Source organism: Homo sapiens, chromosome 9 (genome assembly GCF_000001405.40).
Source record: "Homo sapiens chromosome 9, GRCh38.p14 Primary Assembly".
NCBI classification, from domain to species: Eukaryota; Metazoa; Chordata; class Mammalia; order Primates; family Hominidae; genus Homo; species Homo sapiens.
This window is the reverse complement of record NC_000009.12, coordinates 19469107-19495658: the sequence shown is the minus strand read 5'-3', so window position 1 is coordinate 19495658 and position 26552 is coordinate 19469107. Positions and strand designations below refer to the sequence as shown.

General features: G+C 45.4%; 1 long non-coding RNA gene across 3 annotated transcripts in view, besides 1 other annotated feature; it reads right to left on the bottom strand.

Annotated features, from left to right (window-relative positions):
- Window positions 1-25557, bottom strand: part of LOC105375988 (uncharacterized) — a 93057-nt gene extending 67500 nt beyond the window's left edge. Inside the window, exons 1-4 of one of the 3 annotated variants that reach the window (XR_007061431.1) lie at window positions 25159-25557; window positions 12963-13041; window positions 12708-12851; window positions 8097-8166 (exon numbers count right to left, since the gene is read on the bottom strand). This is a non-coding gene — a long non-coding RNA (uncharacterized LOC105375988). Of the gene's footprint in view, window positions 1-8096; window positions 8167-12707; window positions 12852-12962; window positions 13305-25158 lie in introns of those variants that run through there. The other 2 variants (XR_007061430.1, XR_929510.4) reach the window with 2 other exon arrangements.
- Window positions 2153-2676: an enhancer, noted in NCBI's record as "H3K4me1 hESC enhancer chr9:19492981-19493504 (GRCh37/hg19 assembly coordinates)". NCBI's record gives its function as "activates a minimal SCP1, AML or CMV promoter by ChIP-STARR-seq in primed H9 embryonic stem cells {active_cell/tissue: H9 hESC(primed)}" and the evidence as "EXISTENCE:reporter gene assay evidence [ECO:0000049][PMID:30033119]".
- Window positions 25558-26552: the final 995 nt, after the last annotated feature.

The window sequence follows — 26552 nt, the reverse complement described above, 5'->3', positions numbered from 1 at the left end:
ACATTTTCTATTATAAACAATTATCTTAAAACGGTAGTACAGAGAAAGCTCTCAGGAACTGTCACTCTCAACTGTTATCAACCATTTGCACCTCAGTGTGAAAGGAGGAAAGTTCTGATGGGAAAGAAAGACTTAGGGGATGCCTGGCGTGAGAGACCAGAGAAGTAGAACCCAGGAGGGAAAAGGCAGTCAACAGAGAGGCACAGGCATTCCAACACCAGTCAGCCTCCCTCCCTCCTGCCCGCTGCCACAGCGCCCCCACCAGTTGCTCTCCCACCTGGACACTTGTGGCTGATACAGGCTGCATGATACATGCTGCGTGGAGGGTAAACACACCTGATAGCAATAACATAAGCAGACCCTGAGGATGACCCTGTATGGCAGACACATCTGAATGTGTGTTTCAAGCTAAGGAATCCGGCATGGCCAACCTGGAGATTCATACCTTATCAGTGATGAACATCCGAGCCCCCCACCCATCCCATGGAATGCGGGCCATACAAGGGATTGAGGCCCTGAGTTTTGGGCTAAACAAAGGTTGCCAGGTGGAGGTCATTAAGGGGAGGGTGTTAGGTGAAAACGCTATTTAAACTGCACACTGTTTGCAAGCAGTTACGGTTTTCCTGCCCAGCCTGCTGCCACTGGACTGTTTGTAAGGTGGCTATCTTGTCCAGCACACCACCACTGGACTCTCTCCCCTGTATGTGAGCCCCTAATAAAACCCCCACATTGGCCGGGCATGGTGGCTCATGCCTGTAATCTCAGTACTTTGAGAGGCCAAGGCAGGAGGGATCACCGGAGGTCAGGAGTTCAAGACCAGCCTGGCCAGCATGGTAAAACCCTGTCTCTACTAAAAATACAAAAATTAGCTGGGTGTGGTGGCACGTGCCTGTAATCCCAGCTACTTGGGAGACTGAGGCAGGAGAATCGCTTGAACCCAGGAGGCGGAGGTTGCAGTGAGCCAAGACCACACCACTGCACTCCAGCCTGGGTGACAGAGAAAGACTCCATCTCCAAAAAAAACACCATGTCTCCTTTGCTGGCTCTGAGTCTCTTCTTCAGCCTCCTGAACCTAGTGCCTTCCCTATTGAGGTTAATAGGGGTTTGGCACAACACAAGGCCAGGCCACTTCTGCCCTGACCCCCTGGATTTGATCTAGTTTTTTTTCCTGGGGCCACTGCTGACTTCTTCCCCACAAAGGATGCCCAGGTGGCTGCAGGACTTCCTGAGCCCACTTTACCATCCTGATGACTTGAGTCTTTTCTGAACTGAGCCATTTTGTCTGGGGTCTTGGATCTAAGATGTGTCTAAGATCTTGTGCCATCTCCTTAAGGAGAAAGGGTTCACTCCGGGACAAGAGTAGGGTTACACTAGGAGGGTTCCAAACCAAATGAACTCCTGAGACCACTGCAGAGTGGCTCCTCAACCAGGAGGTTCAGAGAACTTCCTTCCCTGTGAGCCTCAGGAGAAGAAATTGTCAGGAGTTATCGCTCACTTGTGACAGAACAGGTGCTGTCTGACAGGAAGAAGATAAATTGAAACCCGTGTGTGCAACTGAGAGAGTATGAGTGAGTTCATGCAGGAAAGACAGCACTAGACCAGGAAAAATACTCCTCAGAAAATCCATTACATCCACAAGCATGTGGGCCAAGTCAAGGGGTGTCTATTGAAAGAAAGGAAACTGTTCTTGTTTTAAGGCAACATTAAATCCAAAGATCCTGGGCTGTTCAGACAGGGAGTTAAGGGGGACTCCTTCCTGCATCTCCATGTTGAATGGGGCAGAGGGAATGGGAATATGGTTACTGAGCTGCCAAAATAGAACCATCTTCCCTCCTCATCGGAACTTTGCCTGACAACCTTCTCCGCTCGGGTTCTTTACTCCGCTTTTTCTGTTGGGGTTGCGAAAGGGAGAATCATAATCTTCCTATCAGCTGCTTTGACATCTGCCGTAGTTTGGCAGGAACTAATCTAATGACGAGAGACTGACTCAGATTCTTTCTGGGAAGAGGCATTTTGGGGACAAGAAAGCAAAAGAGGATATGTGCGAGCAAAGCCCCAGAAGTCGGCAGCGAGAACAGGCTTCCCAGACAGCCACCTCCCACAGTCACTGGGCATTGCCAGGTGGCCAGGCTGTGGGGTGGGGGCAGTCCCCTCAGCCACGCTGAAAGCAGGTGGGCGTCCAGCCAACACCGCTGCTACACCCCAGGCCGCCTTCCTGAGCACCAGTTGCCGAGGCAACCGGGGTACTTTGCAAATATCTTTTTTAGATGTGACTTCCAGAAAAAAAGGGCAAGGTGACAAGAGGGATGGAAGGAACAGAGAGATACCAGGCTGACGCTTGACACTGAAAATGCAGCCAGAAGTTCTTGGTGCTGCTGCCCTCTACAGGCAAAATCGTAGATTACGACGCTCACCCACCAAAAATGCCCTGAAAATGAAATGTCTCACTTTCCCACCAAGTAGCCTGGGAGTAACAAAACAGGAGCAGGGATAGGGAAGGCCCAGGGGTCCAGCTACAGCCATGGTATCACCAGAAAGGGAAGAGACAATTTGAGAAACACTAGGTCAAAAGTCAAATGTTGCCAGTTCTGGAAATTGCTTGGTAATAATGTGATTGTACATACAAATGCAAAAGCAGGCACTGAAATCTACATGCTGCAGTTGGCTTGGAGACCGTCATCTATGCCATTCATGCACTGCCAGTTTTGTGGGGAACCTGGTGGTAAACCACTGGTAGACCACCTGCTTCTGGCTGGGAATTTTGTATGTAGCAGAGCAGCTCCCTCGCCGTCCTCTATTGTAAGTCAGCACTTCTTGATACAAGGGTTTGTAAAAAGAAAAAAAAAAATGAAGGAAACAAAGATAATCTATAATCCACAATCGGGGTGAATCTTTTCTATTTTGACAATGAAATCACAATTATAACAATGTTATAAGGAATTCTCATGCCCTCAAGAACGTGCTGGGTATCCTCTGTGTAAAGCAAGGATACAATTTAATCTTTGCTTATAAAAATGCTCCAGCTTCCATGACTCAGGTACACTGCAGACCGCCACCAGGAGTAGCAGCACCTGGGAATGCATACACAAATTCCCAGGCCCCACATCAGACCTGCAGACCCTGAAACTCTGGGGGTGGAGCCCAGAAATCCGTGCTTTGACAAGCCCTCCAGGTGATTCTGATGTCCACTAAAATTTGAGAACTAATGATTTATGTAACAATTATTCATTTGAAACTCCAAATATTACTCATTTCAACACACTCATTCATTTCAGGCAGTGACTGAGAGAAGAAATGAGTTGAGATAAAGGCAAGGTGTGCAGAAGAAGCAAAGCCTATCCCCTCCCTGCCTGGGCAGGTATCACAATCTTAGAATCTCAGGATATCACAAATTCCCCTCTCTACCATTGAGGGAAAGGTGATTCCCTCTGCTCCTGGCCAGACCTTCAAGCTCAAAATGAGCTTCTAGTAATACAGGTGATCTAGGGATTAAGAGAAATAGGTTGTTTGGCAGGAGGTGCAGGACAAAGGAGGTTATTGCCAATTGAGCACTGATGCCAGAACTCTCAGAAGGACCCTGTTATGCAAGTAGAAGTACCCCATTAACAGACGCAGGAACTGAGCCCTTAGGGAAGTCAAATGACTTGCCCAAAGTCATCTCACTACTTAGAAGAAATGAGATTAGGACTAAGGCCCATGTGACAAAGAAGACCATGTCTTTCTTCTAAATTCTACTGGGCCACTCTTAGCACTGTCTAAAAGAACTGTGATAGAAATGTCCTTTGTCTGTAGCCACTAGCCACTCGTGACTATTGAACACTTGAAATGTTGCAGGTGACCAGGTGCTGTGGCTCACACCTGTAATTCCAACAGTTTGGGAGACTGAGGTGAGAGAATTGCTTGAGGCCAGGGATTTGAGACCAGCCTGGGCAACACTGTGAAAACTTGAAACAAAAAAAAAAAAAAAAAATTGGCCAGGTGTGGTGTCTCATGCTTATAATCCCAGCACTTTGGGAGGCCAAGATGGGCGGATCTCTTGAGCTCAGTTGTTCAAGACCAGCCTGGGCAACATGGTGAAAACCTATCTCTACAAGATACCAAAAAAAAAAAAAATTACATTAGCTGGGCATGGTGGTGCATGCCCATAGTCCAACTACTGGAGAGGCTGAGGTGGGAGGATCGCTTGAGCCTGGGAGACGGAGGTTATAGTGAGCCGAAATCACAACACTGCACTCCAGACTGGTTGACAGAGTGACAGTGAGACCCTATCTAAAAAAAAAAAAAAAAAAAAAAAAAAAAATTTAAATTCACCAGGTATGGTGGTGCCTACCTGTAGTCCCGATTACTCAGGAGGCTGAGGCAGGAGGATCACCTGAGCATAGGAGTTTGAAGCTGCACTGAGCTATGATACCACTGTACTCCAGCCTGAGTGACAGAGCAAGATCCTGTCTCAAAAAAAAAACAAAAAACAAAAAAACCACACACACACAAAGGAGAAGAAAGGAATAAAGGAAGGTTGCAGATGTGGTGTAACTGAGAAACTAAATCTTTCATTTATTTTAAATTACTTTAAAGTAGTCACATGGGGTTAGTGACTATTCTATTGCAGAGTGGAGGATCATATAGTTTTGTGTAACAATGCCTCAAGAGTGGAAATCTTCACCCAAAATAATCCTCAGGGGGAAAAAAACACAAAAGAGCATTGACAGAGCTAGCAATTTGTCATCTTATTAATCTTTTCTTAATGGAAATGCTGACAGATTCTTAACAGTGTCTAAGAAAATGCAATTAATCCACAGACTCAGATTTAAAGAAGCCTGCCTTCCTGAATGTTGGCAGTTGGCAGAAGCCAGGGATGGCAGTGTGAGGTGCCCCATACCACAAGCTAATGGCCTGAAAGAGGACAGAGAAGGCAAATGGAACCCACTTCAGCAGCCATCTTTTACCCACTTGACAGACTTTAGAGACACCCTGTCTTGCTTCTCCTAATCGCTGTTCTGTATGTTGAGAGGACATATCAGACAGTTACACCATTGAAACTGACCCATAGCAATGAACGTAGTAGGAATAACTGATCTTGCATTACTTGGTGCTGGGCAGTGCAGTGCAGTCTCCCGAGATGGTAGTCTAGAGTGGCAAACCTGCCGAAGATGGAGAAGACAGATAATAGTGTATGTCATCTAGTGAATGTAGTTGGCATCTGTGCCTTGGCCATTCAGCACGCTCATAGACGGGAAACCCAGCCCAAGGAGCTGTTTAATAGATCTCAGAACAGGTGAAGGACCCCCGCCCCGCCAATTAAGGATCTATTGAATAAGACTGTCTCTTCTTATCAGTAAGCAGGTTCCACTCTGCAATTCCACTCCAAGCCTTATGAATTGCCTAAGATTCTGAGCCGTTTTCAATAGAATAAGCAAATCAGCAATAGCTGAGGTGGAAAAATGCCCTATCAGTGTGCTCTGCAAAAGCAAGGCCTTGGTCCAAACCTGGGGCCCGCAGAAAGGTGGTGGAGAAACAGATGGTGAGGATGAGGAGTGAAAGGACTGAGACAAGCCTCCAAAGCCACCAAGAGAATTGAGAGAAATTCTGAAAGTTGGGTATTAGGGCCTATGCAATGCAGGGCAACATAAGAGTTAAAGGAATTTTTTTGTCATCACTATAAGGATAAAATAATTAACAGCAGAGGAAAAAGGAAAATAAAAAGCAGCACAAAAACAGGGTTCTCTTTCCAGTCTGTGCTCTGCATGGTGCCTTTACACTCACCAAGCTACTTTCAGAGACAGAGCCTGTCACATACTTCACTGGTATCTACCAAAGTCCAGCACATTTCTGGGCACATAGTAGACCCTTAAAATTCTAATCAGTTTGAAGTTACTGTGCTACATGGTGACTTTTCTAAGCCAGTACTTCTCAAACTTTCATGTGCATATTAATCACCTGCATGGTTTGTTAAAATGATTTCAATTTTGAATCTCTTTTTTAAGAGACAGGATCTCGCTCCGTCACCCAGGTTGGAGTACAGCAGTGCAATCAGAGCTCACTGCAGCCTCAATCTCTTAGGCTCAAGCGATCCTCCCACCTCAGCTTCCCCAGCAGCTAAGACTACAGACATGCACCGCTGTATTAGTCCGTTTTCATACCGCTATGAAGAACTGCCCAAGACTGAGTAATTTATAAAGGAAAGAGGTTTAATTGACTCACTGTTCAGCGTGGCTGGGAAGGCCTCAGGAAACTTACAATCGTGGTGGAAGGCAAAGAGGAAAGCAAAGCACCCACCTTCACAAGGTGGCAGGAAGGAGAAACGCCAAGCAAAGGGGGAAGAGCCCCTTATAAAACCATCAGATCTTGTGAGCACTCACTCACTAGCACGAGAACAGCATGGGGGAAACTGCCTTCATGATTCAATTACCTCCACCTGCTCTCTCCCTTGACATGTGGGGATTATGGGGATTATAATTCAAGATGAGATTTAGGTGGGGACATAAAGCCTAACCATATCAACCACCATGCCTGGCTATTTTTTTTTAAGAGATGGGATCTTGAAATGTTGCCCAGGCTGGTCTCATTTTCCTGCCCTCAAGCAATCCTCCTACCTCAGCCTCCCAAAGTGCTGGAATTACAGGTGTGAGCCACCGCACCTGGCCTCTAAATCACTGTTTCAGTAGCTCTGGAATGAGGCTTGAAATTCTGCATTTCTAACACATTCCCAAGGGAGGCCAACAAGCTGGCCACGGACCACACTTTGAACAATGAGCCCTTATTTTTCTCTGCTGGTCACAAGCTAGCTTAGCTGGTTGAAAACCACACTAGGGCAATCAAGGACATCAGTTTGATCTCCATCAGGGGGATCCCTCTTGCTCCATGGTTGCAGGCTGAACCCACAGCTCCAGCCAGTTATCTTGGGTCTTGGATACACAGTCACACACACACACACACACACACACACACACACACAGTGGGGAAATACAATGGGAAGAGATCACCAGGCCTATCTGAAGGCTGGCATATTATACCTGGGCTGCCATGGGGCAGCCCCACCTAAGTAATAGCTATGTTCTCCAGTAGCCCTGACTCTGCCCTTCCCCTCCCCAATGTCCTCTTAACCCTATTCTCTGGACATTGATTTTAGAATTGCTTTTAGACAAATTCACTCAGAAGCAGGACTGCAAACAAGTCTCCTCTCTCATGCTGACTGGATGATCCAAAGTGGCTGCCTACAGAGCTATCTTGAAAAAGACTCTGAAACCAGATTCTGGCTCTGCTGGAATAGCTATCATCATGGATTAATGTTGTCTAGTGTGGGGGAAAGATGGGCAAAGTGGCAGCATAGCCAGCATGGGGCAGACTCTAAGCAGGTGTGAGGATTTTACAGGGAGGCTTATCTTGCCTCCTCTCAGATCCCAGAACAAGGGGAAGCTGGTGGGCAATCACAGGGTAATTCCTCTAGCACTCCTCGGAGCTCATTCAGCATGAAACTCTTCTGATGAGGGCACAAGTGCTTCTCTGTGTCCTGCTCACTGGCTCGGGCTGAAGAATCAGGCCCCAGGTCTCTTAACTTTCATCCAAGGCACTTCTGTCTGAAAGGGGCACTAAGAAGAAATGAACACTTTAATGTGACTAGTCAATGATTAGCCTTTGAGTTCATCCTTCTTCAGTGTACCATAGGAAAATACATTTTTCCTTGAGCTATAACAGTGGGAATATTCCAGAACTCTGCCTTTTTCACAACAGCAGTATCTGCGTTATTAAGAAACAGATGGGAGACTGGGTACTTCCTGCTTTGAAGTCTGAGGCACATGCCTATACTTCTATAAAGAACTCAAACCATTAAGTAATTACTTTTATGAAACTGCATTATCTGGAACTCTACCCTTGTAACCTATCCGCTGAACAGCCCTAAGTGCAGGATCCTCATATCACAGAAATGGGCCTCCTGCTGTTTGTTCCCTTCTGCAGAATTATTGGCTTCATCTACTCAGGGACATAAGTGAGGGCTGTGAGAAACAGAGTGAGGTATCTGGGTGTGCTTGCATGCCACCTCCAGATTCTGATGTCACCAACCTGCTGTTCATAATAGAGCTAAGTCCATACATAACCTGGTATGTAAAATTCAGAGCTCCAGTGGCACCCAGGCAGATAGCATGTAGGCATCAGATCCATGAAGAACTGCAAAAATAATATTAAAGATTTAAAAATATGTTTTTGTTGTTGTTTCTGAGACAGGGTCTGTCACCTAGGCTGGAGTGCAGTGGCATGATCATGGCTCATCGCAGCTGACGTCTCAGACTCAACCGATTCTCCCACCTCAGCCCACCAAGTAGCTGGAACCACAGGCATGCACGACCAAGCCTGGCTAATTCTTTTTTTATAGAGATGGGGTCTCCCTATGTCGCCCAGGCTGGTCTGAAACTCCTGGGCTCAAGGAATCCTTCCGCCTAGGCCTCCCAAAATGCTGGGATTACAGGCATGAGCTACCATGCCTGGACAAAAAAAATAATAATAATACAGTTGTAAGAAATTTCTTCACTGCATATTTGCTACTGTACTTAATGTTCATGAACTGTTAAAGTTGCTGTGTACAAAGATGGAATTCATGTAATAGAATTCCTCAATGTGACAATAGGCCTATACTATTATTTGCTGTGTGATGATTCATTTAATTCTCCTATGCTTATCTCTATTTGCACAGCTTATGAAATCCTTGCTCATTTATACATTAGGGCTTCACTTGGATGCAACCCATCGTCTGTATGTTAATATTTGTTACTAGGATTCTTTTCTCATTGGCCCGTAATAAAGTAGTACGTATCTCAAAAAAATATTCATAAAGCAAGAAGTAGAAAAGACAACTAATCTGGATCTTCTTGGAAGGGTTTAATAATGCATGGCTCTAGACTCCCAAACCTGCCCAAGAAGGAAGAGGTCTGGAGAGATCATACGCATGTGTCACATGTGTGCATATAGGCACAGTGGTCCATGGCTATGTTGAATTTTCTAACGTAGCTTCCAGGAGCCAGGCACAGTGGCTTGCATCTGTAATATCAGCTACTTGGGAGGCTGAGGCAGGAGGATTGCTTGATCTTGGAAGTTCAAGACTAGCCTGGGAAACATAGCCATCTCGAAAAAAAAAATTTTTTTGGCCGGGCACGGTGGCTCACACCTGTAATCCCAGCGCTTTGGGAGGCCGAGGCGGGTGGATCACCTGAGGTCAGGAGTTCAAGATCAGCCTGGCCAACATGGTGAAACCCCGTCTCTACTAAAAATTAAAAAATTAGCCAGGTGTGGTGGCGGATACCTGTAATCCCAGCTACTTGGGGTGCTGAGGCAGTAGAATCGCTTGAACCCAGGAGGCGGAGGTTGCAGTGAGCTGAGATCGTGCCACTGCACTCCAGCCTGGGTGACAAGAGCAAGACTCTGTCTGAAAAAAAATAAATAAATAAGAAGAAAAAGCTAGACAAACACTTGTTAACCAGAGACCCCTCTTGGAAAGAGCATACGCTCTGAGAACGGATCAGATCAAGGATTGAATATGATGTTGGACCTAGAAATTCCACTTCTAGTAATCTAATCTACAAGTATACAGAGAACATTAGAGGTTGTTCACTCTGGCATTGTTTGTCACAACAAAAACTGGAAACAACCTATGTGTCCACCAGTAGGGAAAGTAGTTGCATAAAACATGGTACCTTTATTCAGTCGACTGCTATATAGATATTTAAAGGAATGGAGTAATTCTGTTTGTGCTGCTATGGAAAGAGCTCTTAGCTATATTGTTAAGTGAAAATAGTGAGCTATAGCATCGTGGATATATTGGACCCCCATTTATGTATATGTACAAAATAATTGTATCAAAATACACACAAAACCCTTAATGGTGTTTACATGTGGAGAGTAGGACTTAGAATGTGTTTTCCTATCCCAAGAGTAAAAATGAGACTTTCTCATCCTCATTTTCCCTTTTGTGTACCATTTGAATTTTTCTCATGTGTATATGCTATTTTCATCATTGAAAAATAAAATCCTACTTCTGCCACTTAACAACTGTGGTTGATTGCAAAAGTAGACCCAATTCTCACCCCTATCTCTCCGTGCTCCCCTTTGCAATATGACTTTGCAGGTCTTTCCATCTAGTGGTGGAGTCTATTTCACCTACCCTTGCATCTGGGCAGGCCTCATGACTTGCTTTGGCCAACAGATTATGGTAGACGTGGTGCAGTGCCAGTTCCAAGCCTAGGCATCAGGAGGCCTTGCACCTGTCCACTCTTCCTCTTGGAATCCTACCAATCTGCCATGTGAACAAGCCCAGGCTAGCCTGTAGGAGCATGAGAGCAATCATGTGGCCAGTTGTGCCCTACTCCTAACAATCCAGCTGACAGCCAGACAATCTCTAAAACTGTGAGCTAAATAACTGGTTGTTGTTTTAAGCCACTAATTTGGGGACTGTTTGCAACACAGCAAGATCTAACTGGTCTTCCAACCATGTCATCTTGGGAAGCATCTCTTTCCTTTTTTGAAAGACGGGGCTAATTATCCACTACATTTTTTTTCAAAAGTTTAAGTGAGATAACATGTAACAATTCAAATAGTAGTTCCTTTCCCCTTCCCCAATGCCAATGATAGAATATGAATCTTGAAGGATGGATGCCCTCACCAAGCCAGAAGGAAGGCATCACCCTGTGCCTGCCTGAAAAGTTGATGACTTCACCCAGTGGCACAGGCCTGGGGTTGGAAGTGCCAGAATTACGGGTGGGTGGAATTGTGGGTGTGTACTGGGAACATTGAGTAAGATCTTCCTAGCCAGCCCCTACAGAAAGAGCTCTGAAGGTTCAGTAAGAGGACATGCAAATCTATACACTGGGGGCACCTCCTGACAGAGCTGGAGATGGAGAGAAAGGACTAGAACTTTCTCAGCAGGGCCACTCTGGAGGTCAGCTCAAAGCCAGGAAGGGGTGAGAAGATTCCTAATGGAAGTCTTTACTTCAGCAGAATTTGCCACAGCTGTGGCAGCCATCACAGCCCCTCACCCATTAGGTGGCTGCAGTGCAGAGCTGTTGGAGGTCTTTCTCCTCTGGAGATAGCAGAACAGTCTTCAGGGATTATCCATGGTCATAAAGTCATGTTATTCCCCCAAGGCTGCCAACCTCATGGGATTTCATGTGGTGGCCACAGGAGATCCAGCCTCCAGCTTCTCCGGCTGTTCCAAGTAATGGCTCTGAGCTGCCCTGCTCCTGTGAATGGTTCAAGAGGAAGGGTTCTCTCCCTTTGAGGGGCCCTGGGGAATAGCTCCACAGGATCCTGGAACACTAGAGCCTGGTAAGCAAGATAAAGGAAAGGAAGCCTGCCTGAGCATGAGCAGTCTTCCACCAGAGTGAGGCCTGACAGAAAACAGAAAGAGAGAGTTGCCCAGCCCTTCTACAGAAAGAAGACCCTGAGAACTAATCATGCACCCACTGCAGGATGCTCAAAGAATCTTGAGACTGATAGGACAGTGGCCAGCTCATTCATCTGAGAGGATGGGTGGAGACTGCCAGGCAGTGCTGGGCATCTGTCTTAGTTCATTTTCTGTTGCTAGAACAAAATACCACAGACTGGGTAATTTATAAAGAAAAGAAATGTATTTCTTACAGTTCTGGAGGCTGGGAAGTCCAAGGTCAAGGGGCTGCATCTGGTGAAGGTCTTCTTACTGCATTATAATGTGGCAGAGGCCATCACATGGCGAGAGGGCAAGAAGGTGCCAGCTCAGGTCTCTCTTCATCTTCTTATAAAGCCAACAGTCCCATCATGGGAGTCCCACCCTGATGACCTTCTCTAACCCTAATTACCCCCCAAACGCCCCATCTCCAAATGCCATTGACATATGACTTTGGAAATTAAGTTTCCAACACATGAAACTTGGGGGATACATTCAAATCATAGTGGCACCCATCTTTTCTTCAGGTTCCATATCAGGAATTCTATCCTATGAGAGAGGCCAGGTGGAAAGGCAGGGGAGATGTGTTGGAAGGACATCTTACACACAGGGAAGAGCATGAGGACAGGCACAGGGACAGGAGGGCCTGAAATGACCCTGTAGTTTAGAGCGGCTGGAACTTACCAGCATGTGGGCCATAGCACTGACAGCCAATAGGGTGTGAAGGGATGGGGAGGACAGGTCATCCTAAAGAACCTGAGTTTCATCTTGAAGGCAATATGATATTTTTACTATCAACTGGAGAGGGGGAGTCTGGCACAGATCCTAGCACATAGTAAATGCTCAGTCATTGTTGGATAGATGAATTTAAGAAAAAATGAATCTGGGTCCCTGTAAGCCCTCAATTTCAGCAGTCTATTAAATTTGGGAAACTCTCACTCAATTTTTAATTATATTAATAAAAGCTGCAATTACTCATTGAGTGCTTATTATTAGTATCATCTCACTGTCTCTCATATATAGCTGAACATTGGAACTATCTACAGAGATTTCAAAAATATTAATGGCTGGCTCCCACACCCAGAAATTTTGCTTTAACTGGTCTGGGTGCTCCCTGGCAGTTGGACTTTCGAGACTCCTATGGTGATTCTAATGTACAGCCAAGTTTGAGACCCATTGTCCTATCTCATTTAATCTTCACAACATTCCCATGAGATAGACATTATCTTTATCCCAGTTTGCAAGTGAAGAAAGGGAATCTTAAAAAACATTAAATAACTTGCCCAAGATCACATACTTCAGGCTGGGTGTGGTGGCTCATGCCTATAATCCCAGCACTTTGGGAGGCTGAGGCAGGAGGATCACTTAAGCTTGAGATGTTGAGGCTGCCGTGAGCCACGATCGTACCATTGCACTCCAGCCTGGGTGACAAAGCAAGACCCTGTCTCAAAAAAAAAAATCACACAATTTAGTAACTAGCAAATTCAGCATACAAAGCTGCCATGGATTTTCCCAGAGATACAGGAAAATAACCAGAAACTTTCATACTCACCTTTCTTCTTTTCTCCGGAAGTTCTCAGTGATTAAAACAAAAGACTTCTTTTTACATGAATCTTGGAACATTGAGTGATCTGTATGTTTGTTAAAGAGAGAGATTGACAGGATGATTATGAGTCAAGGTGAAGTTTATCAACTGTCAGACTTGCTTAAAGTATTAGAGTTGAGACTTATGCAGGTTTAACCAGAGAAAGAGAGATTAGACTGTTCTGTTTTCCCAGAGTTGGAGGCAAAAGGGTAGGGTGATGGCCTCTATGCTCCTGGACCAGGCAAAGAGAGAGCAAAATGAGGTAAAGAGGAAGACGGTGGTGATTCAGCTGAGGAAGGGTAGAAGAGTGAGTGCTGACAAGCTCTTCTCATTCTCTTGCCAGTACAAGCAGCTGTCTGCTCTTTTAATAATTCTTTGTCTTCTCCAAAAGGGCAAAACACATTCTACATAAAGACGCTTCTGTTAGCAGCTGTGGTGGTGATTTCAAAGGCGGGGGTTCGGGGGAGTGGAAAAGACAAAATTTTCATGATTCTTTTTCCTCAAATGTGTTGGGCTACTGTGGTAAGGAAAGGAAATGCATTACTAAATCGAGTGGTAGCTGGGTCCCTCTGCTGATGGGCACAGCATTAAACGGCGTGGCCACTCAGCACAGTGGATGCAGCCTCCAGGGGAGAAAGGGGGTGTGCTGGGGAAGCCGCTGTGCAGTTCCAGCGCTTCATAAGATCTAACTCTACCCAACAGTTTTTCTTAGAGATTACTCCTGTGTGCATTAGGCCTCTTTTGGTTTTAAGTAACAGAATACAGTTTGATCTAGCATCTTCAGAAATGTATTCAAATGGTGCAGGAGTATCTCTCCACACAGGACCCAAAATATAATTATAGAGCTGGACTTCAGGAAGGAACTGGAAAGTTGTCAAGACTCCCTGCTCCTCCGACAGCTGTTCGTTTTTTCTCACTCTACAGATCCCACATACCCTCCACTGCTCCAGTCCACAGGACAAGAAACACGGCCACTGACGCAGGCTGCCACGCTGACCCAGGCCAGCTGTCTCAGTCCAGACTCCTGGGGCAGGGTTGCCGAGAGGCCTAACTTGGGTCAGGGTAAATTCCTGGTCCAACTAGTTGGAGACATGGGGGAGGTACACGAAAGGCTGCTGAGGTTGAGAGCTGCTGTGTGTGCAGGAAACAGTTAAGAGAAAGGGGTCATTTTAAGTTTCAAAAGAGACTCCAGAAAGTGCTGAGAATAGGTGTCAAAGCAGTTCCTGACTTTCACATCTCCATAAGCACCACTCAATCCCTCCACCCCACCTCCATGTGCACAGATGAGGAAGACCTCCTCATCAGCCAGCATGCTTGAAGTCACTTTCCTGCAAATCCAAGGAGTTTCTCAGCTTGGCAGCCAGACAGACTCATGTAGCTGTATTAGAAGTGATGCTAACCAGGCACAATCAAGACTCTTTAAAATACAGTGTGGGCTGGGCGCAGTGGCTCATACCTGTAATCCCAGAATTTTGGGAGGGTAAAGCAGGAGGATCACTTGAGCGCAGGAGTTCAAGACCAGCCTGGGCAACATAGCGAGATGCTCGTCTCTAAAAAAAAAAAAAAAAAAAAATAGCCAGGCATGGTGCTATGTAACTGTAGTCCCAGCCAGTTGGGAGGCGGAGGTGGGAGGATGTCTTGAGCCCAAGAGTTTGAAGCTGCAGTGAGGTTTGATTATGCCACTGCACTCCAGCCTGGGTGACAGAGTGAGACCCTGTCTCTACCAAAAAATGTAAAAACATAAAAGTAATTGGCCTGGTGTGGTGGCACACTCCTATAGTCCCAGCTACTGGGGAGGCTAAGGCAGGAGGATTGCTTGAGCCCAGGAGTTCAAGGCCACGTGAACCATGATCAAACCACTGCACTCTAGCCTGAGTGACAGAGCAAGATCTTGTCTCAAAAAAATAATAATAAAACAAAATAAAGATTGTGGCTGACTCTGCCCCTCAGTGAGCCATGAGAGTCACCTGAGATGCAGCTATCCTGGGTGGTTTCAAAGAGAAGGAATCCAGAGAAGGGCAACCTAAGTGCTGAAGACACAGGCCCTGGAGCAAATAGCAGACTTCTGGTCACTGCTCATTACTGGCACCGGCTCAGTGGTGCCTGACTGGGGAACAGCCTCAGAGGAAGCTGCCCCAGCCTCGCCAGAGTGGGAGAGGACAAGGAACGCTCTCCTGGACCAAAAGCAGAGAAATTATCTCAACCCACACACCCGAAGAAAACAACATGGACATCATCCCTGAAAACATCTCCCCACGCAGGCAGGACGTCCCATCTTTTTGCCTTTTTCTTTTTAATGCCTCCTTCGGGCAGAGAGAATGGTCTGGTTAGGTCCAAGTTTTGACATTAGAGTGTTGACAGGATAAGTAGTCCATAAACTGAATACCCTGCAATCTGAGCTGGGCCACCAAAAATCCCATTCTTGGGGCCCCAAATATCTGTCCTTTTCTTAAAAAACACTTTCTAATGTCTATTTGTAGGTGGAAGGATGATGATGACCTGTAGAATGGTAGGTCATGGTCAGTTCTCCATCCACCAGGTGGGACAAGGAGACAATGTAGAACAGTGGCTCCCAAACTTGGCATGCATCCAAATCACTGCAGGGATGTTGAAGCAGATTGCAGGGTCTTCTTTTCAGAGTTCCCAATTCAGTAGGCTGTTGGTGGGGCCAAGTAATTTTCATTTTAATGAGTCTACAGATGATGTGGATGCTGCTGAGAACCACTGGAGCAGAAGATAATGTTAGTTGGTTTTATTTCTTAAAGCATAAAATATTAGCCATCTGCAGATAAAGAAGACTGAAGGGACTGTGTAACAAGCATTTTCATTCTGTCTTTTGATATGTCCATCCCTTAAATAGGTGTAGTCCTTTGGATTTTCATCCCTTCAGACTGATTCTGAAAGCCAATTTAACCTGATTTTACCTTGATAAAAACAAAAAATAGTGGGCCCACAAATCTGTAAGAAAAAGACAACTGGCCCAATAGAAAAATGAGCAAACAATGCAGGCAGGCCTTTCACAGAAGAGGAAACAGAAATTGCCAATCGACCTCTGAAAAGAGGTTCAATCTCACTGGTAATCAGTAAGATGTAAATTAAACCCACAATGAAATACCATTTCATAGCAACCACAATGGCTAAAGTTTCAAAGTCAGACACTGCTTCATGAGGGTGTGGAAAACAGCTATTTTCATGCATTGCTAGTGGATGGAAATAGGCACAACTTCTTTAGAAAACAATTTGGCACTTCTGATGAGGTTATGTAAGTCCTCTAGCAATTTAACACTTAGGAAAATAACCTAGAGAAACTCTTGGACCTTTGCTCCAGGAGACAGATAAGACTGTTCAGAGCTGTGCAGCTCACAGCAACAAAAGCTGCAATGTTTATTGACAGAAGATGGAGAAACGGTGATGTATTCATCAAATGGATGGCAGTCAGCAGAAAAACTATATGAACTGCGGCTATAGATATCAATAGGATGAAGCTCAAAAACAATGCTGGCTGGAAGCAACTCACAAAAGGAACATATCATGTGATTCCATTTATGTAGTAAAAACCTCAGAGTACATTATTTAGAAGTCCATACAGGATACCCTTGGAGGAGGGAGGAGGTAGATTTGGAGAGAAGCACATAGGGGTACGGTGATCAGCTGTCCAGGCTGAGACTAAATGGTTAACTAGGACCTGCGACGTTCAGTGCTAAAACCAGGACAGTTCTGGACAAACCAGAAGGAGGCAGTCACCCCTTGGACAGGTTCAAAGATATTGGTAATGTTTTAGTTCATTACAGCTGAGATATGAGAACACAGTGGTTTTTTATTTTTGTTTAGTCTTTTAAAATGTATGTATATGTCACATAAACTTTTGTATGTGTGATATATTTTACAATTTGTAAAAATGTGCAAAATGTTGAAAAAATACACAAAGAAAGATATACCATGACAGAGGATAAAACTGTAAATCAGTACAACTTTTCTGGAGGGCAATTTGGCAACAATATATTTCAAAAGCCGTAACAATACACATAATCTTTAATCCAGAAAGTTAACTTCCACGATTCAACACACTGGAAAAAAATCAGATATGTGAGTACAAATGTGTACATAGAGGTGTTCATTATTACAGTAATTATAATATCAAAAAATTAGAAATGTTAAATGTTCAGCAAAAGGAAATTTTAAAATTAAGGTACATTCATATGGTTTATAATTCTGCACCCATTTATTTATTTATTTATTTATTTATTTTATCCTTTTTTTCTATACTTTAGGAATACCAGGGTACTAATGTTTTTTTGTTACATGATGAATTGTGTAGAATTCATCTACATGTTGGGTACAACGTACACTCCTCAAGTGACTGGTGCACTGAAACCTGAGACTTCAGCACTCCTCACCCGAGTAGTGTACGTTGTACCCAGTATGTACTTTTTAACCCACAGCCCTCTCCCGGTTCCTTCCCCTGAGTCTCCAGTGTCCAATATAACACTCTGTTTGCCCTTGTGTCCACATAGCTTAGCTCCCCCTTGTAAGTGAGAACATATGGTATTTGGTTTTTCCATTCCTGAGTTATTTCACTTAGAGTAATGGCTTCCAGCTCCATTCATGTTGCTGCAAAAGACATTATATTGTTCTTTTAATGGCTGAGTAGTATTCCATGGTGTATATATACCACATTTTCTTTACCCACTCCTCAGTTGATGGGCACTTAGGTTGGTTTGATATCTTTGTAATTGTGAATTGTCTGCACCTATATAAATTACGTTAATTTCTAAAATTAAAAGCATACAAAAAAAGGACTGTGGTTATTGTCATAAAACATCTTCAGAGGCCGGGCACGGTGGCTGACGCTTGTAATCCCAGCACTGTGGGAGGCCGAGGCGGGCGGATCACCTGAGGTCAGGAGTTTGAGACCAGCCTGACCATCATGGAGAAACCCCATCTCTACTAAAAATACAAAATTAGCCTGGCGTGGTGGCACATGCCTGTAATCCCAGCTACTCAGGAGGCTGAGGCAGGAGAATCGCTTGCACCCAGGAGGCAGAGCTTATGGTGAGCCAAGATCCTGCCATTGCACTCCAGCCTGGGCAACAAGAGTGAGACTCCATCTCAAAAAAAAAAAAAAAAAAATCATCAGAGACAAGAAGAAGACTTCTCTTTAGTTTAGGAAAATACTTCGATGGGCCATTTTCTGTATGAAAGGTGGAGATGCCCTGGAAATGGTGGGGAAGGAAAACACTGCAAGCAAATAAACTATCTCTGAATGAGAACGTGATAGTAATTTGTCTGCCAACTGAGAGTGGCCAACAGAACTTGGAACAAGAACAAAGGAAAGCGCGGAGAAGGGTCTCACCTAAGGGGAAAGATGGACTGTGAGGAATTCCCGTAGTGGGGAAAAGAGATGTCTAATATTCTGGGGTAAACCCTAACCACCCTTCACCACTCCCAAACATTGAGGGGAGTGCTCACGCTCACGACCGCCTTGCACCACTGTCACTTAGGAATGAAGGAAGAAGTGCCCAGCCAATTCAGTCAGAATCTCCTAGGGTAGGGACTAAGCATCACTATTTTCTTTGAAAACCTCCCCAGGTATTTCTAATATGCAGCTAGAATGGAGCACTATTGGGCTAGAGTAAAAATAAAAACTCAGGCCAGGCGCGGTGGCTCACGCATGTAATTACAAGCGCGGCGGCTCATGCCTGTAATCCCAGCACTTCGGGAGGCTGAAGCAGGTGGATCACCTGAGGTCGGGAGATCGAGACCAGCCTAGCCAACACGGTAAAACCCCATCTCTACTAATAATAAAAAATTACCTGGACGTGGTGGCACACACCTACAGTTCCAGCTACTTGGGAGGCTGAGGCAGGAGAATCGCTGGAACCCGGGAGGCAGAAGTTGCAGTGAGCTGAGATCACGCCACTGCACTCCAGCCTGGGTGACAGAGCAAGACTCTACCTCAAAAAAAAATAAAATAAAATAAAAAATAAAAGCTAAAATTGATGAGGCCTGTCTGGGCTAAGCCTTATACTAGGTAGTTACTCATTTAAGTTTCCAGCTTGATGAGGTGGGTACGATTCCTTCCATTTCACAGATTTGGGAACTGAGACACATGAAGGCCTAAGTAATCCAAGAAGACTGAGATGGACTGTGGCTCTTGCAGGCTGTGGGAACTGGAGAGGAGCTGGGGGAGCACTGAAGGGGAGGGGGAACAGCGTGGCAGGGCCAGAGTAGGCAGCACACAGTGGGCCAGGGGTACATGAACAGGTGATAAACAGACTCGGGGGCATTCGAGCTGTCACCAGGGACAACTTCACCCCCTGAAAATGGGAGACAGCCTCTACTTGAGCCCTGTGTGGCAGCCATGTGGCCACGGGGAGCAGAGGTGAAGAAATTGTGCTATTTGTAACGAAAGCTTCAATGGGAGGATTTAGGTCAGTAGAACATTGTCAACTCAACCAGAGTTTGGCTCAGACAGCAAAGCTGACACCCTTTCCTGTGGAGAACAATTCTGGGAAACTATTTTTTATTTTTTATTTTTTACTTTTTAGACAGGGTCTCGCTCTGTCACTCAGGCTGGAGTACAGTGGTGCAATCTCAGCTCACTGCAACCTCCCCCTCCCAGATTCAAGTGATCCTCCTGCCTCAGCCTCCTAAATAGCTGGGATTACAGGCACCCACCACCATACCCGGCTAATTTTTGGGATTTTTAGTAGAGAGGGTGTTTCGCCATATTGGCCAGCCTGGTCTCGACCTCCTGACCTCAGGTGATCCACTCATCTCAGCCTCCCAAAGTGCTGGGATTACAGGCATCAGCCATCATGCCCCGCCAATTCTGGGAAATTTTTAAGGTCAGCAAGGGCTAACGAACTTTGTGTATTAAGAACCATTTACAGAGAGAAACTCTTAGCCCCTCACATGACTTTCAAACCTGTCCACTGAAAAGAGCTAGAAACAAGAGCCAACCTGGTAGCAGTGAGCAACCCTAGAGCCCAGATTATGGTCTTGAAATACAATTTCTCACCAAACTATAAAAATAAACACAAACAGGGCTTCTTGGAGGAATGGCTGAGTCCAGGTCTGGGCAAGAAGAGCCTGGAACAGAAATGTGCAAGATGAGCCTGGAACCCATTGTTTTACCTAATAACAATAAAGCTACTGAAGATAACTAGGATTATGTCAGAAAGATTCAAGAACTAACCACTTGAAGAGAATTCTAAAATAGCACCTGTTAGGGGTTGCATTGGGTTCCTTACAACTTATATGCTACGTCCTAACCCCCTGTACTTCAGAATGTGACTTTATTTGGAAATAGGATCATTACAGATGTAATTAGTTAACCTGTGGTCATACCACAATAGGATGAACCCCTAATCCAATATGACTGGTGTCCTTTCAAAAGGGGGAAATTTGGATACAGATACGCACCCAAGAAGAACACCATATGAAAATAAAGGCAGAGATCAGGGTAATGTTTCTATGGCCCAAGGAACACCAATGATTGCCAGGAAACCACCTGCTGTCAGGAAGGAGGCATAGAACAGATTCTTCCTCACAGCCCTCAGAAGGAACCAAGCCTGCTGACACCTTGATCTTGAACTTCTGTCCTCCAGAACTTCAAGACAATGCATTTCTGTTAAAAAAAAAAAAAGTGTACTAGGAGAAAGAAAGGTTTCAGATATGCTAAAAATAATTCTACTGATTGCCATCAATTGGTAAGAAGCACTCAGTTGAAAAGAGGTCTTATGTGTCTGAAGAAGCATAATGAACCCACCCTCTCACCTTTCAGATACCACATCTATGTGTGGCTTAATGGAGACTATTGATAAGGAGGAGGAGGAGGGAATTATCTTCTTCTTCCCACTCTTACCCACCCAGAAGCAATTAGTGAACAGGGAACAAAGAAAGGCACATGCCTTCTTGTTCTGAGACCTAGGAGACTAGAGCCAGGTGAGGGAGAGAGGCACCCTGGGAAATGTTTGCATCACAAAATGGGACAGAGCCCGGCGGTCCACTGAAAGTGACAAACATTGGCAGACTAGCCGACGGATTTCCAGGTCTAGGGGAAGTATTCTTCCTGTCCTGAGGAATCTATTTAATAATTGACCAAGAAAACTGGGAAGCTGGGTTGCAAAGTAGCTCTTATTGGGCATCTACTAGATACTTTGGTACTGGTTGGATACTGTACCAGATGCTTTTACACTATAATTTTAGTTAATCCCCATAGCCATCGGCATTAGGGTTTTCCAGAGAAACAGAACCAACAGAACGTGAGACTATATAGAAAGAGATTTACTGGCCGGGCACAGTGGCTCATGCCTGTCATCGCAGCTCTTTGGGAGGCCAAGGCAGGTGGATCACCTGAGGTCAGGAGTTCAAGACCAGCCTGGCAAACATGGTGAAGCCCTGTCTCTACCAAAAATACAAAAAAAAATTGGCTGGGCATGGTGGTGAGCACCCGTAATCCCAGCTACTCAGGAGGCTGAGGCAGGAGAATCACTTGAACCCAGGAGGCAGAGGTTGCAGTGAGATGAGATCATGCCATTGCACTCCAGCCTGGGCAACAAGAGCAAAACAGACAGGAAGGGAAGGGAGGAAGGGAGAAAGGGAGGAAGGAAGGGAGGGAGGAAAGAAAGAAAAGAAAAGAAAAGAAAAGAAAAGAAAAGAAAAGAAAAGAAAAGAAAAGAAAAGAAAAGAAAAGAAAAGAAAAGAAAAGAAAAGAAAAGAAAAGAATAGATGAGATTCATTAGAAGGAATTGGCTCACACAATTATGGAGAATGGGCAAGTCCAAAATCTGTGGAGTGGGCTGGCAGCCTAGAGACCCAGAAGAGTCTATGCTGCAGTTCCAGTCAAGGCCAGTAGACTGGAGACCCAGCCAGTCACTGATATTCCAGTTTGAGCCTGAAGGCCATCTGCTGTAGAACCAGGAAGAGGTGATGTTGCAGATGTAGTCTGAAGCCATCTGCTAGAGAAGTAGGAGAAAGTTTCTTTTGTTCTATTTTGGCCTTCCACTGATTGGATGAGACCTACCCACATTATGGAGGGAGCCTACTTTACTTAAAGTCTACCAATTTGGGCATGGTAGCCCACACCTGTAATCCCAGCACTTTGGGAGGTCAAGGCAGGAGGATCACTTGGGGTCAGGAGCTCAAGACCAGCCTGGGAAACATAGCAAGACCCCAACTCTAAAAAAAAAACAAAATAAAAAAGTTAGCCAGGCACGGTGGCATGCACCTGTAATCTCCACTACTTGGGAGGCCGAGGTGGGAGGATTGCTTGAGCCCAGGAGTTCAAGGCTGCAGCAAGCTATGATCACCATATTGCACTCCAGCCTGGGCAATAGATTGAGACCCTGTCTCAAAAAAAAAAAAAAATCCATGGCCAGGTACAGTGGCTAACCCCTATATCCCCAGCACTTTCGGAGGCTGAGGCAGGTGGATCACCTGAGGTCAGGAGTTCAAGACCAGCCTGGCCAACATGGTGAAACCCTGTCTCTACTAAAAATACAAAAATTGGCTGGGCATGATGGCAGGCGCCTATAATCCCAGCTACTCAGGGGGATGAGAATGGCTGGAACCTGGGAGGCAGAGATTGCAGTGAGCCGAGATCATGCCATTGCACTCCAGCCTGGGCAAAAACAGTGAAACTCCATCTCAAAAAATATATATATTAACTAATTTAAACCTTAATCTCATCCAGAAATGCTCTTACCTCACAGAAACATCAGAATAATGTTTGACCAAATATCTGGAAACCCCATCATCCAGCCAATTTGACACATAAAACTAACCATCACCCCATCTGAAAGTTAGATTTCGCCCTAATTTTGTATATGAGGAGACTGAGGCTCAGAAGGATTAAGTGACATACCCAATTACACAGCTGATTGGAGGCCAGGCTATAATGAAACCATACTCTTTCCGACTCCAGGAAGTTGGGGGCAAGATACGTATTATTGAATCTCACTTGGAAAGAAAGTGCAGTTCTCCCCTACCTACATTAATAACCCTCTAACTAGTATTCAGTCAGCTAGCAAGTATTTAAGCCCCTACTATACTCTGAGCTGTCAGGAAAGTAAAATCTTATTTTACTGTCAAGAGCAAAAAGTTACCAAAATGTGTAGCAGGTCTTATTTTCTCTCTGGTACAGGTGCTGGGCGGGAGTTGGGGGTGGGAATGGAAGGTTGAGTCACACCAGAAGTGGTCAGCAGTGTGGGGACCAGGAGCCAGGTCTGTCACCACTCCTGCTTTGAAGCCACTTTCCCTCAAAAGTGGGTGACCACGGGGAATATTAAGCACTCAGGCTCTGGGATGAGCACTGACATCAAACAATTCCCTTTCATAAGGGGGCTGCCTGCTGGGGTCCATTGAGAAAGAGGGCAGGCATTCCAAAAGCCACTTCTTTCAGCAGGATGTAGGCAGAAACTATTCCCTTAGACGACCAAAACGGGTCACACGGGTCACAGTCACACGGCAAATGTCCCAGAACCCTATCGCCCACGTTCCCCCACACCACGACACTTGATCTGGTGCATCTAGTACGGTTGTGAGTGTCAGTTTCACCCCCTCAGGAAGCCAACTTCTCCCTCCACCGCAGCCTCCAGGTTTGTCCCCAGACCTGCCAACTGGTGTGGCCGCCTTCCTTTTGGTGGGCTGCAGGACCACTGGTGACACCTAGTGACCAAGGCGGCAGTAGCAGCCGAGAACGAGAATTCCTGATTTTCTCTCCTGGTGATGAGAGTAATGACACTGCCCGCCCCAGGACCAAGGAAGTCCCCAGGGAGGGAGTGTGTGAGATTTTTCCAGGAGGGAGATCCCCCTCGGTGAGAGAAGAAAGTGAGGCATGATCAGGGCTCATGACGCCCTTATCATAAGTCATGTGGTTTGAACATTAAAAGGAATGTGACCTCATTTCTTATTCTAAGCTGATCAAGGGGCACCTATGTTAAAAAGCACTGAGAGGCTCTTGGCCTTTTCTTGATTCCAGTCCCCCAGAAAGGGCCAAGAGAAGACTTCCAGGGTCAGACCCCTATCTGAGACCCCCTTTGCAGCCCTCTCCGCTCAGCCACACATCACTGTCCCGTCCACCCAGCTCCGTAGCCGTTAATCATATGTGGCTATCTAAATTAAATTAATTAAAATTACATTGAAAACTCAGCTCTTCAGGCACACCAGCCTGAAGTGCTCAACAGCCACAAGTAACTAGTGGCAGCACACATTACAGAGCATTTTCGTCATCACAGAAAGTTATCATAGACAATGCTGGTCTGTAGGCTAGAAATTTCTTTCCAGGCATCTTAAGATTCTTTTTAATCAAAGTTCTCTTTGGAAAGAAGAAAAAGCAGAAAGCTGGGTGGAACTGTCATCTTGGTATACCGTGCTTGGAAGCACAGGCTGACAGAGAAGGGATTGACACAAATTTGGCTTGAACTGGGTTTTTTTTCCAGATGCCACTTTACCGTGCCTCTCTCCCAAGAACAGGAGCTGTGTGGGCGTGTGTGTTTCAGGCTGCGTTTGGCACTGGAGGTTAAAACAGGGCGTTCTCTTCCTTCTTGCTTTCTCTTCAAGAGAAATAACTTTTTCCTCAAACTTATGATAAAGAAGACAGTTGGTAAAAATGTTTGGGAACCTCTGGTTTGGGCTAAATGAAGGCTCTTTGGAGACACACACTAGCCAGATTATAAGGCATAAAAGAAGTCTTGGACGCCAGGGGACACTGGACTGGCCATCAAGATTAATCATCCCATGGGGTCTCTTGGTACCTCATTCATTCACTCATTCAACCAGCATTTACCAACTGCCCGTTATGTTCCAGGCACTATTCTAAGCTACAGAGATACAGCTGTAAGCTGAACAAAGACCTTCCCTCATGGAACTTACCCACAAGAATGGAGGAATCTGACCCACAATATAAATAATGGTGTCACATCAGTATCATGGATCCAGGCCAGCCATACACTGATGACAACAACAGCTGCCTCGTTTTGAATTCCATAATCCTACCACTATTCTGTACCAAGCACGGTTCACTCCGCTCTCAGTGGATTCTCATAGTCCTCACAGCTACCATATTAAGTCTCAGTTATCATTAGTCTCATCTTCCATTTATGCAAACACAGAGAGGCCAAGCAAGTAGCTTAAATCATACCACTGTACAGGCACGCACCATTGTTCCAACCCTGGTCTCACTCATGCCATATGGTAGAGGGAAAGCATACGTTGTCAAATATTCAGGGATTCTAGAACGTTGCAAATAGAAGAATAAACAAGACGTATCCAGTGGTAAAGACAGATACAGTGTGATGTGCCTCATGGTAAGTAGAAAATAGAAGTCACTATGGAAACAGAGGAAGGGCATATAAACCAGCCTCCAGGGATGTGGCCAGGGTGTTATCAGGGAATGCTTCCTGGAGGAGGTGATACACGAATGAAGTCCTAAGGGAAAAATAGAAGTACAAGTGTTGAAAATGTGGGGAGGGACAAAGGTATGCTGGGCAAAGGGAACAGAAGTGCCCAGGCCTAGAGGGAAGCAGGTATTCAGTGTGGGTTGTGTACAGTTTGGAAGAAGAAAAGTGGCCCAATGATGGATTTTACAGCCTGCTCAGAAGTATTCACTTGACTTGGAGGGTTTGGGGCAGTCATCAAACAATGCTGCAGATGAAAGCATGGTAAAAAAGAAAAAAAAATGCTCCTCAGTATCTACATCAGGAAGGTGGTCACTTGTCACCAGTCTGATATTCATGGCACCTTAGGCTTTTACACACAGCCCTTTGTAGTTTACAAAGCAATTTCATGTGCCCAAACTCACAAAGCTGTTACATGGCAGGACCAGTCCTCTGCAAGCTCAAATCAGGGCTCCAGCCTCTATTCCACAGCACAACCTGCCAGACCCAGTGGTTGGTTGGCTGACTGTCCTGGGAAAAACTAAAAGCAAGAGAGTTTCCATTGCAGGTGACTTTGAAAGGACTTGGGGGTGCCATCCTGGTCTCCAGGCTGAGGCAGTGAGAATCTGGAATCAAGAAATGCTCTGGTTAATACTTCTTTCCTATTTTTCTTCCAGACTAGGTAGGCCTCAGAACTTATCTGTTTTTTCTGGCCATGGGGTATAAGAAAGTAAAAGAACTTATCTGTGGTTCTCAGAATGTCACACCCTGTTTGGCTTACCAGAAGTCCCTGCAAGGCTGTTTCAAACTTTACAGAGGCTAGCACTGAGATTCTGTGTCCCCACCTCGCCCCAAGGCCTGTCCCCGTTTGCATGTTCATTTGCTGCCTCTCCTTAAAGGATATTGGTATCTTTCAGCCTCTGTGACCAATGGGCATGTGGCATCGGGGGATGTGCTAGGTGGGGAATGTACCCAGGGCCACTGCCTTGATCATAAAATGGGCACAGTGGTAGTACCTACCTCGGCTTGTTATGAGGACTCAATAAGCCAATGCTTGAAAAGGACTTCAGAGGCATTCATGCCTGGATGGCTGGCACACACCTGGATAATTGCTGTTCTTAAGGAAAAGGTCAACAGTTTTGACTACTTAAAACTTTCAACATCTGTGTGTTAAATA